The sequence below is a fragment of the Homo sapiens genome, chromosome 3 (genome assembly GCF_000001405.40).
Source record: "Homo sapiens chromosome 3, GRCh38.p14 Primary Assembly".
Lineage (NCBI taxonomy): Eukaryota > Metazoa > Chordata > Mammalia > Primates > Hominidae > Homo > Homo sapiens.
In genome coordinates, this window is record NC_000003.12 from 62,519,567 (window position 1) to 62,533,063 (window position 13,497).

General features: G+C 39.5%; 1 protein-coding gene across 51 annotated transcripts in view; it reads right to left on the reverse strand.

Annotated features, from left to right (window-relative positions):
* Positions 1-13,497, reverse strand: part of CADPS (calcium dependent secretion activator) — a 477,069-nt gene that overhangs the window by 121,219 nt on the left and 342,353 nt on the right. For 27 of the 51 annotated variants that reach the window (NM_001437891.1, XM_047449105.1, XM_017007376.3 and 24 more), the window contains 2 exons: positions 13,305-13,492; positions 11,088-11,246 (listed from right to left, as the gene is read on the reverse strand). In NM_001437891.1, coding sequence (NP_001424820.1) covers positions 11,088-11,246; positions 13,305-13,492 — 347 coding nt within the window. The remainder of the gene's footprint in view (positions 1-11,087; positions 11,247-13,304; positions 13,493-13,497) is intronic. The other 24 variants (NM_183393.3, NM_001438352.1, XM_011534199.3 and 21 more) reach the window with 1 other exon arrangement.

Genomic DNA, 13,497 nt, shown 5'->3' on the forward strand with positions numbered 1-13,497 from the left:
GGTAGGTTGCCTTCAAATTCTCTGGTAAATCTCAAATGTTAATTTACAAAGTTTATTAAAAAATTTTTTAAGAGACAGGGTCTTGTTCTGTTGTCCAGGCTGGGGTGCAGCAGTGTGATCATAGCTCACTGTGGCCTTGAACTCCTGGCCTCAAGTGATTCTTCTGCCTCAGCCTCTTGAGTAGCTGGGATTATGGGTGCAAGCTACCATGCTTAACAAAAACAAATTTTTTTTTTTTACATGAAACGTCCGTGAATCTACAGTTAGATAACAGGATGAATTTACTGGCCTCCACAAAACATGTGATGCTTTTGTTTGTAACTTTTCGTGTATATGCTACAACCTACAACTTCCTTAAGCTGTGGTTTTTAAATTTCTTTAAACAACCTTCAGCTTGTTAATGAACTGAACACACATTTGTTTATGTAATCAGCATGTGCATGCACACACTCAACTGGGGGAAAAATGGAGCAATTTAAAGCATTTGTTTTTTAGTGGAGAATTAACCCAGAGAAAAATGCTGTTAAATATAATTTTACAGTTCAGAAAAGGTTTACTGATCACAGCAAAAAGTATGGAGACTATTTAACATGAAGAGCCAGGATATTTGTGGTCATTATTAGGAGATAAATATCTCTGTGAATAAAACCATTCATTCATTACCCTACAAGCCTTCTAAGGCAATTAGGCAATTAGAAGGCAGCTTTCTGCTTTGTGTCTGAGATGATAAAAACTGAACATTTAGTGTATGCTTGGCCTTCTCAGTTAATTCTCACTATAAAAGATATTATTACAAACCTAACAATGGATTATGTTTTTTCCTTTTGTTCTGATGATTCCCATTTGTAATTATTAAAAGTATCAGATAGCAGCTTCTGCTTCGCTGATAACCTCTCCTCGTACTACTTTCTGAACACTATTAATCTCACTATTCCAATAAAAGTAAACAACTGAAAAGTAGTGTTGTCTCTTAAATTTGCTTCTTGATCACCTATGTCAGCGCGACAACTTTTATTTTAAATAAAACAAACTAACTTTACTAAGTCTGTAAGGTACAAGTACAGAGTTCACCAATAAAAACAGGTGATAAAACAATTTGATGTCGAATGATTTTGACATAAAATGTAAATTTGTAACTGCCAGAATTGCTCTGAAATGGTATTGGTAACAGGAGATGCTGCTTTACAAAGTGAGGAAAAGACATGCAGGAATAACAACTTGTCAAAGATCATAGGTTGTAACCAGGTCAGTTAAAAAGCAAAAGGATCCCTTTTTTGTTTGATTTCACTTCATTGTTTTCGAAAATTCTGTCAAACATCAATTTCTTGTTCATCGACCCCTATAATTTGGCAATGTTAGCTATACAGGTTTAGATAGATCTCTATAGAACTATTAACTGAAAAATTCAGGTTACATGCTTTGGAGAGTACTGTTTTTTCCACAGAAGCAACAGCATACTTTTTCTAGAGCAGTGGTTCTCAAACTTGAATGAGCCTCAGCATCACCTGGTGACAACCTGGATTGGTTGGTCCCCTAAAGTTGCTGATTCAGTAGAGCTGGGGGGTAGGGGTTGAGAACTTGCATTTCTAACAAGTTTACTGGTGCTGCTAGTGCTGCTGGTTCGAGGACCACACTCTAAGTGCCACTGTTCTAGAGAAAAAAAATATTAGGTGGGTGGTTCTTCCAGTGGCAGAGAGGGTATATTTGATTCAGGGTTCCTGATTTCTCTTAGGTTGGAGTGGATTTGGAACCCAAGATATTCTGCAAGAGATACATGGTATTATTTAACTATGAATCCCTTCCAAAAGTGGCATTTGTATTGTTTACAAGGTGCCATTCCAAGTAGTGCTGGTTGCAAAATAAATAGTAGAGCTATATTGGTATCTTTCAGACGCCATGCTTTTGTTTTGTCTTTCTGAAAATATTTGGGGGTGATTCTACAACTGTCTTAAAACTAGCTCTGCATCTTGTTCCTTTCTCAATGCTAAATCACTAAAGGAGACACAAAGAGTGAGAGAAGAGGAGGGGTGAAGCTGGATTTTAAACTGCTAGCTAGAAAATTCCAGGCTGAGATGTGTCTACACAGAACACCTGCCTAGAAGCCTGACTCTCTCACGCTCTCGTGTCCTGACTGTGAATATTCTGGTCTTCTTGCTTTCAGGCTTTTTAGCATCCATTGCCAATTTCTAACCCCTGGATTTGGAGGAGTGGCCTCAGCCACATTCTGGCCACTCTCGTGTGAGGGTAAATCGAGGTGCCTATTCCCCTACTATTAAAGCCGAAGGGCTTCCTAGAGGCCAGCCCCTCCCTTTCACAGCCACTCCATATCTAAGCTGGACTATGACCTCAGTTCAGCTACCAGGACACCCTCCTCTGGAATCCTTACGTTGAATAAATGATACAAGGCTAGAATAAACAGACGGAATTTGCTTGTTCCAGCAGCTGTGCCTTGACCAGACTGTCCTTACAGGTCAGTAGTTTTTGATCTTGTCTGTTTCTTAGAATTGTGAAAGGTCGCATCCTCAAAGCTCTATCTATCTATCTATCTATCTATCTATCTATCTATCTATCTATCTATCTATCTAACTATTGAGACAGGGTCTCATTCAGCCTAAGGTGGAGTGCAGTGGCGCAATCTCTGTTCACTGCAGCATTGACATCTCAAGCTCAAGCGATCCTCCTACTGCAGCCTCCTGAGAGGCTGGGACTGCAGAAGCATGCCACCATATCTTTTAATTTTGTTTTAATTTTCTTCAGACACAAGGTCTCATTATGTTGCCCAGGCTGGTCTCTAACTCCTGGGCTCAAGGGATCCTCCCACCTCAGCCTTGCAAAATGCTGGCATTACAGGCATGAGCCACTGGACCCAGCCTGACACTGGCATTTTTAAGGTTTCCCGTGTTACTCTAACATACAGTAAGAACCACTGTGTCAGTCCTGCTTTCTACTCTTCCATAGCTCACTTGATTCCAGCATTCCTTTCCCCGTCTTTGAGGCCCCCAGCATCATCCTAATAAACTCTCCTTTGCTTAGATTACCCAGAGTTAGTTTTTGTTACTTATATTGAACTCGATATAAGTTCATAAAGCACATATCTCTTCCTTCACAACGTTCCAAATTTTAATAGATGATGTCTTTGAACTTAGCTTTAGAAACACATACACACATGAGCACATACACATGCGAACATAGCCCCTGGTCTCTGGTTCCACCTAACTGCACACTGGCTAACAACTCGCTTCTTTTATATCATGATCCTGCAAACTTGAGACAATATGCAGGTCAAGCGCAGTCATTTTTGGAGCCGTGCTGAAGCCTGGAAGCTCTCCCACCTGCGGGCCATCACTGGAGCCAGAAATGAGTCTCTCCAGCCACAGCAGACTATATCGCATCTGACACGGCGGGCATCTCCGGAATCCACCTTTCAAGTTTTCGGCAAACCATTTTCTCACTGTCCTTCACAAAGTTGACATTTTCGGCAGCATGATAGGAAAGATGTCATGTCGGCTGCTCTTCAAGTTCTTGTCACAGTGGTTAGCACCAGTTCTGTCATCTTCACTCTCCTCACAGTCTCCCATCTTGAGCCATGTCACAAATAATAATACATCTAGAGTTGCATTTTTCTTTTTTTTTGTCAAATTGAAACTACCATAACCCAGCTGCCCAACCTTTGAGTGACTAGTTATGCAAATTGTTCTCTTTTTCCCAAATGCTTCTGACCTGGAGTTTATTAACTAATATCTATTATAGGATTAATATAATGAAGTACTGAGTTTTTAATGTGAAACATTTTAATATTTGAAATTAAGTGTGAACAGTGTAGTCAAAGAATTCAAGATTCAATGTGTTTTGTGAAATGAATTTACCTCTTTAGTGTTGTTAAATTGTCACTACACACCCAGGTGAGCACACAGACTTTTAGCAGTTCATTATCTTTCTAGAATGGTTCTCCATATTATGTTAAAAGCTGGGCCACAAAAACCTTCTTTTGAAAGGTAAGATGTCTCTTCAAGAGGGTCAGAATGCTAAATTAATTCAAAGCTTACAATGATCTATATGTTCTGATATTGCATCTATTTGGTGATTAAGGGCAGAATCCAGGTGTAAAAAGAAATGTATGAATTCCACAGAAGAGGAAACAGTGTCTGGTCCACTGCTCCGCATATAACCAGCTTTCAGGCTCCAGTCACTACCAACAAGGGGTAAAACTCCAGCTGAAGAGGGAATATACTTTCATCTCCAAATGCAAATGTCCACATATGCTGGTGCAGGCACCGTAAACATGATATATTCTCTCTCTCCAAATGGATGCATGCCTGCAGACCGCATGATGGATCCATGAAAATGTCCTTAAACAAGCATGATAACTGAATCCTACTTGCTACGAAATTGTTCCAGCCCAGAAACATGAGAGCTTAAAGGGCCAGAGAGGGACAGAATATCTTAGTAGATGTTCTTTGCAGTGCTCCCTAAATAGGACATTTAGACCAAACATCCTCTTTTAACCACTGACTTAAAAAGAAAAAGAGTTCTCCCAGAAACTAACTCTTTATTACTTCTAGTTTTAGAATGATACCTTTGAATTTAATCCTTGCATGGAAAGTTTTCCTTTGTCTCTTTCAAGTGATTAATAACCACAAATTCAAGATAGCACCAAAGCATTATCTTCTCAAAAGGAGATATCCCTGCTTGCTCATCTATATGGTTTGTACAATCCTATGTTAATTATAAATTATAATTAGGGCCCTCACATCTCATAGTTACTGCTTCATTATGAAAGCCAGCCTCACCCCTTCCTCTCCTTTCCTTCCAGCCCATGCCCTTTTCTAATTATGCCCTGATGCCCTGGGGCTCAGACACGCTGCTAAAACAAATATATCAAAGTGTTTGTATCACAAAGAATAAGATAGGAAGCAACAATAAGCAGTTTCTACAATATTACAAGTGTGCATTGTAGCTTCCTGGGGCTAATAATTAATCTCCAAACAAGGCTTGGAAGGGGCAAAAATACACCAGTGAGGACTGTCTTGACTTATTTACAGTTCTCCTAAATATGTGGTTATAACCTAACAGTATCAGAAGGTGTCATTAACTCTATTAAAGGATGAAAGTCGTGGAGAAGTCTCTCTCTACTGAACAGTCACAAAGAATATGGATGCTATGGGCACAAGGACATTAGTCAAAGTGGCTCAGGCTCAGTCCAGGTACTGAATGAAGCAAGAACACATCAGATGATTAGAGAAATTGTATAAAATGCAGGAAAGCATGCATTTTACCCCCAAGAGGACCAATTTTAAAAATTGGCACTGCATAGATTTTTCCCTTTGAGGAATAAGGGATGTGTTTCTTTATTTCTAGACAAATACAGACAACTAATCTTTAGATTCCTTTCTGAAGACACCATATACAAAATTCTGAGTGGTCAGACCAGTAGTATGTGTGGCTTTTTGATATCACATCCACTCTAAAAGGAGTGTAACATCTGAAAATATGTTTTTGTACCAGTTAATTCAATGACTATGGGATAAAGACACATTGTTGGAATTTTAAGAGGAAAAACACATTATCTGATGGTTTGCTATGGGCCAGAAAGATTGCACCAATGGAATAGGTAATTTAGCATATTTCACAAGATTTCATGTCTCGATGGGAGAATCTGCTGTTCTCATGGGGAAAGTCAGAAAGAGAGTCACGTGGGTTAAAAGGAAACAAGTTCCAAAGTGAATTTCTCCTTGGACATCTGGGATGCCTACTTATACGTAAAATTTGTTTGAAAATTTTTCCCACTTTCTCTTCCAAGTACTTCCTATTAAGTAAAGCTGGCTCCTTAGAATTTAGAGAGCATGACTCAGCCATGTGCAAGGCCTGTACTTGCTCAGAATTGGAAGGCCAGCCAGCAACATGCTCATGTTCACAAGTGCAATAATCTTTGTGTTCAGTGTGTAACATGAGACCAAGAATGTGGAGGTGTTTTTTATACCGCATCAGTGCCTGCCTGCTATATAAAGTGCTACATGCAGAGGTTAGTAAAACAGAGCTATCCCCACTACACAGTTTTTGCCCTTTATCTTTGTGGGAAAAAGGGTTGAGAAGCACCGGATGTAATGTCATTATGTGTGTGTGTGTGTGTGTGTGTGTATGTGTGTGTGTCTGTGTGTCTGTGTATGCACGGGTATGAGAAAGAGAGAGGACGGAGTTAGAGTGAAAGAAAAAAATGTGTTACTCATTTACTACTAGGAAGGCATTCACCAAAAAGAAATAAAAGGAACCATTATGTGACATGGATTGAAACGGCCACCCAACATTGGAGGCAAGGGCACAGTCAATAGGGCAATCATTGTGGTCCAGAGGAGAGAAGATAGAGACCTAAACTATGGTAGTGGCATTGAAGAGAGGGAGAAATGGTGGACTTGAGAGATACTTAAGGGCATTGTCAGGATATAGAAATTGAATTGTTGTGACACACTGGGGAGAAAGAGAAGTCAAGGATGGCTCTTGAGGTTCTATCTTGGGCAACCGGGAGGATGAAACCACTTACTTAGGAATCCTGGCAGAGTAACAGGAGAAAAGTGAGTTCCATTTGATTGTTTGGTTACTCAAATCTTAATCTACAAGGGATCACATGGTCTCTGAACATGGGCAGCACCTTGGCTCCAAATACATCGCCCAAAAGAAATCTTTAGAGCACACTGCCAGAGATTTTTAAGATTCATACCCTCTTACATCTGCTTTACTCATTAATCTATGCAGCTTACTTTGGATTGCGGCGGTTGGCATTATAGATTTGTTAATTGCTGATACAATGTACTTTCTACACAGGCCATATGTGAAGAGCAGCACTGGCATTCAAGAAATGTTAAATAATAATGTAAATGAGAAAAATTTCCAATCCCAATAATAAAGGGATCCAAGGAACATTGACGCAACTTGCAATCATCAGAGCTGTTTGATTGCCTTGTCACTGTGGGATAGTGACCAAAGTGATGCTAATCTAAATGTCATCTAGAAAGAATACTAAAAATATTATGGTGAGAATTAAGTACTGCAACCTTAGAAGCTGATTTAAAAATTAGAAGATGTAGCAATTTACATCTGTGGATTTTATGATCGCCAAATGCAACCAGCTGAGCATACTCACATTTTCCTTTTTCTCCTGTCTCTCTTTTCAGAAAATGGGTTCAGTTTTAAAAAGTTAGTTCAAACTAATGTTCCCTCAATCAGTGGGTCTTGAACTTTGCTATATATTTAAATCACTTGAGATTTTTAACTCATGAAGTTTGGGCCACATTCCAGATTAATTAGAATCTCTGCAGGTGGAGCCCAGGCATTAGCATTTTTACCCTCTCCAAGTGATTCTAGTGGGCAGCCTAGTTTGACAACCAAAATCCTAAATATGTATGATCTAAAGACCAAATGCTTTAGATTCATGGTTGAGAGGGGTGCTTAGTAAAAGTGCAGATTCCCAGCTCCATTTAAGACTTGCCAAATGAAATTATTTGAGGATGCCACCTAGTACTCTGCATTTTATAAAATCCCCACATGATTTATGTGCACAATGAAGTGTGAGAACCACTGTACAAACTGAAAATCAGTGGTGGTACCTGTTAGGCTTTTAGACATAGGGTAAGTCTTGTGTAAAAGAAACAACAAATCCATGTAAAGGAAAAATGCAGCTCATCACCAGGGAGTTTGGTTTAAAACAGGGTTTCTTGACCTTGGCACTATTAACATTTTTGGCTTTGCTTTCAGGAGGCTCTCCTGTGTATTATAGGATGTTTAATAATATCCCTAGCCTCTACTTACTAGACAAAAATGGCACCACTCCACCCCAGCTGTGGCAATCAAAAATATCTCCAGATATTACCAAATGTTCTGTGTGTGCTGGGGGTGGGGGGTGGGGGAGTGGGGATTACCCCCAGTAATTCTAAAAATGCCAAACATGTGGATGGTTCCATACATCCCAGTGTTTGAAATTATGAACAGCAAACACCTTCCTGATTGACCAGATGTGTCTACACTTGACTACAGTAACTGTGATTCACAGAGCATAGTTTTTCACGGAGATGGTGCACAAGTTTCCAGAGCAGTTGGGAGAAACTTGGTCACTGCCACGTCAGTGGTCATTAATGATTTCCAGCTGCAGCAGGGCAAGGTTCTGCCTCTGCCGGTGGAAATGCTGAGTTAATAATAGGTAAAAAACATCTTTTTACCTAATCCGAATCTGGTTGTGAGATCTCAGTGGAAATGGGCTCTATTCAGTTAAAGGCAGTTAAAGGGCCATTGCTTTCATGAGTCATGAATTGCTTTTAAATCTGGAACAAAGAATAGATAACATCTCCACATCCAAATGCTGGTCATGCTGGTGAAAGGTTTGGAATGTGGTTTCCCCAATCCCAAAGGCAATTAATTAGTGTTCATAGGAGACTCTCCCCTTAGGTGGTATAAAACTCCAGATAAATTCTGGTTTTCCCCACAAAGCTAAAATCTCCAGGTAGGCCATATTAGTTTTGGCCATCTTCAGGCTTCTCTTTAATTCAGATGACTGCTGTAGCATCTCACCTGGAAATGTTGAAACAAATATCAAACGGCCAGGTTTGCCATCTCACACCATATACAAGTGCTAATCTTGGACAGGTAGGAAGGTAGAGTGGTTACAAATGCAAGCACCAAAGTCAGAATATCCATGTTTGAATCAGGCTCAGACAGTTATTTGTTATGAGTTTCAGGCAAGTGACTGAATTTATGCGAGCCTCAAGCACTCATCTATTGGGTGAGGGTAATAACGATATTTATCTCACATGAATGTAATAAGGATAAAATGAGATAACATATATCAACAGCACTTCACTTAGTGCCTGGAATATAGCAAGTAATTATTAAATGGTAGTGATTATCCTTATTTTAATTAAACTTTATTTATGATTATTTAAATTGCACCTTCGAAAACATTTTTATTTATGAAACCTGACGATGGACTATTTCACTTGTTATTGTAATCCATAGAAGATAATTTTAGATGTTAAAGGGATATTACAGATACTATGATTCAGTCTGCTCATTTTACAGAAATGAGAAAACTGAGGCACAGAAACGGGATCTGATACTCCTAGATTTATGCAGAATAGGTTCTAACATTCAGGTCTTCAGCATATAAGTACAGTCCTGATGTAGTGCAAAAGGAAAGAGCTTTGGACTTAGAACATCTAGGTTTGCTACTTAAATTTACAGATGTTTGACTTTATCATCTGCAAAATGAACATAAAAATAGCTAATCTGAATATTTTATAGCAAATGTTTGGAAGCACTTTGTGGCTGGGCGCGGTGGCTCATGCCTGTAATCCCAGCACTTTAGGAGGCTGAGTCGGGCAGATTACCTGAGGTCAGGAGTTCGAGACCAGCCTGGCCAACATGGTGAAACCCTCTCTCTACTAAAAATACAAAAAAATTAGCGGGGCGTGGTGGCAGTCACCTGTAATCCCAGCTACTCATGAGGCTGAGGCAGGAGAATCGCTTGAGCTCATGAGGCGGAGGTTGCAGTGAGCTGAGATCATGCCATTGCACTCCAGCATGGGGCACAAGAGCGAGACTTCATCTCAAAAAAACAAAAACAAAAAAGCACTTTGTAAACTGTAGAATGTTACACAATTGCTACTTAATATTATGATTTCTTCTTTATTAAAAAAATGCAATGCAAACAAAGATTCTGAAACACACACATAAGCCTCAATAGGACCAGTCAAGATCCCTTTAGTTAGTTTTTCGTGGCCTAAGAAATAGATCAGGTTCAAGCAAGTGTGCCTTTCAACACTGGCCATTTGTTCTCTGCTCCACTTGGATGTTGATCCTTCCAAAAGCAGCACCTTGGACAGCAGCCAGGAAGGCTTCCTCTCCGAAGCCTTGTCATTCCGTCAGACCTCACCTTCAGGCACCTACAACATTCTGCATGCACTTTCTTCCTAATTGCAAGTTACTGTTGCCTTGCAATCTAACTTTTACAGTGAAACACAAACAGAAATTGCATTTCACCTCTATCCTTACATATTGCGGTGAAGGAGATGGATGGCCACATGGAATCAGGGTTTTCTTTGACCTTCCCTATTGGACCCGCATATACTGATTGACAGCCTGCCACATTCTCTAGAAAGCAAAAGTTTGCATTTTCATTTGGCCTGTCTACAAGTGAACGGTATACATTTCAGGACTTAGAAATATTCAGTGAATAAATTTATAATGATGAAGCATACAGCATACACGCTTGAGAATTTTGGGTAGCTTGGCAATGCCAGGATCAGAGTCATCAGTTCTAAAACCAAACAAAAAACTTTAAAATGTCAGTGTTAATTTTGGGTGACGGTATAAAAGGTGAAGAAGGGCACAGAATAAAACTGGAAATAATTAGTAAACCTAATTTAAAAGGGAAAAAGTTCACCAATTCGCCAATTTATAAACCCGCAAAGAAAGGACATAGGAAACAGGACAGGATAAACAAAATTTTAGAAGTTAAAAGTGCCTTAAAGGTGACCTCAGTATATAAGTGATTCTACTAAGAAGCATTAATTTGGTAATAGAATTTATCTTATGACATTATTATAAATCATTATTTGAGATGAATTTCTTTTTATGAGATGAATGTAGAACTAATAGGTATTTGCTGAAAATGATGGCACTACTATAAATGCATAGGCCTATCTTATGCCAATCTATTTTATTTGCTCCTTAAACATAATTTCAAAATTATAAAGCATGGGTTGCTTATTATGAATGACTTGGTAAGGTACCAGGCCCCTAACTAGATGCCACTAAAAAAGCAATCTGACTCACAATTCTGTTTACATATTGCTCAATTAGTCTTTTCAATATGAACACGTTTTAAAAGTCACTGAACACCTGACTCAAATTTAGTCCCAATACACGGTATTTTTGCCCATTGCTAGAATTTTTTTTTAAAATTGCACCTTTGAAAATGCTTAAAGAGAGACTTTAGGAATACTCAAAGCTTGCAAAAGTGGAAGTGATGGCATGGATGGAGGCTTGGGGAAAGGGTAAAGATATTACAAACACAAGCCAATACACACATAACTTCTTACCTTTTCAGCTCTTGATTTGCCTGGGTTTTGGAATCTTTTCTTTTTTTGGATTCCTTTTTGGTATCTTTTTTAGCTTCTGGTTCAGGTGGGGAGGGAGTTTTGCTCCCTTCAGGGTCTGTATTTGGTGGCAGCCCACTAAGGTACACATGCATTTGTTGACTTTGGAGAGGGGGTGGTCGCATGAGGCATGCACAGAGTGTGGCCAGCCATAGGAGAATCAAGAGCACACGCACATGCACAAACAAAAGAAAGAAAAAGAAGGGTGCATGAAAAAGCAGGCGCAAATGCATTCAAACTAAAATAATAAGAAAAAAAGATGCAAACTTGCATAAGGAAAATCAGAACTGAAAAGAAAATAAGAAATCCAAAACTGTTTCCATGACAAGATGTATAAACCTAACTGTGAATCAAGTGGCAGTCTTACAATATGAAATCCAGACAATGTGTATCATAATTCATGATGATGTTTACCAGGGAGTTTACAAAAACACTTCATTATTTTATAACACTTTCTTATTCAGTAACATATGTAGAATACAGTGTGACAACCCAGAGAATATAATGCAACTTCTCTCTCTCTCTCTCTCTCTTTAAAAAATTCAGTCCAAGAGGCTGTAACAGATAGTCATCAAAGTGTACATATTTATAAAAAGCAGAATTATGCACAGATACCCCCCAGGTATCAGAGTTTTCATGAGTATCTTTTATGCAAATAAAAGGTCACGTGCTGGGCTAGCAAACCTCATAACAATGGGAGGTGATGATAACCTTGTTGCCTGTTAAATATTCAAACCTATGATGCTATTGTTATCTAGCTCTAAATGTTGAAGTTGCATTTCGTAAAAATACATCAGTGCTAGAAGGAGGAAAAGCACAGAAAAAATCCTACAGAGATTTTAGTTGTATAGCTTGCAAAGATGAAGACGACTGACACAGTTCTGATTTAAAATAAATGTAGTCAATTCTGGATTCTCCCACATGTGGATTTCTCCAGAGCAGCGACTTTTGCATCTGAGGCTGGGTTTCTGAAGCCACCTAGTGTTTCCTGGGTGTGGCTTCACTGGCTGTTGGTTGGGGAGCTTTGGGATAATATAGGCTTGTCTTTATACTAATGCAAGGCTACATACATTGAGATAGTAAACTGGCTGTGGCAGTGTGGAAATTTATTCCATGTCTCCAGAGCCAAATGGCAATGTTCTTAAATTATTTGCTGCTTTGCATTATTCAGAACATGGATCTTTTCCTCCAGGAGCTGGGCAAGGTCTAAAGAAAGAGAGTACTTAGTACAGAGTCAGGAGACTTGACGTTCTGGGCTTGTATATAAAACCTACAAAATGAGGGGGTTGATTAGACTGTGATCTCAAAAGTTCTTCCAGGCTCTATGGTTAAATTAAAAGTGTTATCATCATCTTTGCCTTCCAGCTTCACCTAGCTTGCTTCAGCTCTGGAAATGTACTTGGCTTCCTCCTTCTGCAGGACATTTGTACATGCTGTTCCTTTTGCCTGGAACCACTCAACTCCTACACATGCTTTAGTTCTCAGCTCCAGCATCACTTCCTCAGGGAGGTCCTCCTTGCCATCTTGCCATTCCATCTGAGTCATGTTTCTTTATTAAATTTTGTCATGGAATTTTATTCCCTTTCCTCAGAGTCAGAGCATCAATCTGAATGTAACTCTGCCCTTGTTTGATGTCTGGCTTTTACTCACCACACATACTAAATGTGTATCAGAGTGACTGACACTAAGGAAGTAATTATTAAGCAATTATGAAATAAATAACAAAAACAAAGGCAAATATTTATTGTTTTTGCCATGTTTCAGGCACTATGTTGAGCCCTTTATAGGTACTTGCATTCTCTCAACAACCCCAGGGGTATACAATCATCCCATTTTACAGACGAGAAAACCGTGGCACAAAGGGCTTAATTACCAACCAGGGTTATTGCTAGTAAATGGAAGAACTATGATTTGAACCTAGATTGGCCTAACTTCCGAGCTTGCCCTAGAAGCCCTGCTTGCCATTTATTTTAAGTTTCTTGAAAGGAGAAGAAAGTTAGTGCCCTTTGTGTGTGTGTGTGTGTGTGTGTGTGTGTGTGTACGTGTGCACATACCACCGAAGGAATGAAGACAGGCAGATCCTAAAAGCAAGACTAGCCATAAACCATTGCCAGTGCCATTTCTTAAGGATCACCTCTAGACACACGAACACACACTTACCTGTTCCCATGGACATGGGATGCACAGAAGGCAAAGCTGTAGTGAAGAAGGGTGGGGTCGATCATGGCGCCATTTTCTGCCCGTTCAAGCAAGTCTCTGAGGTAGCAGAGATGTCGGTGACACCCCCGGACTCCATTTCGGGCGCAATACTCGTCTAGTACAAACACCTGGCCAGGACTGAACCAGCCCTATA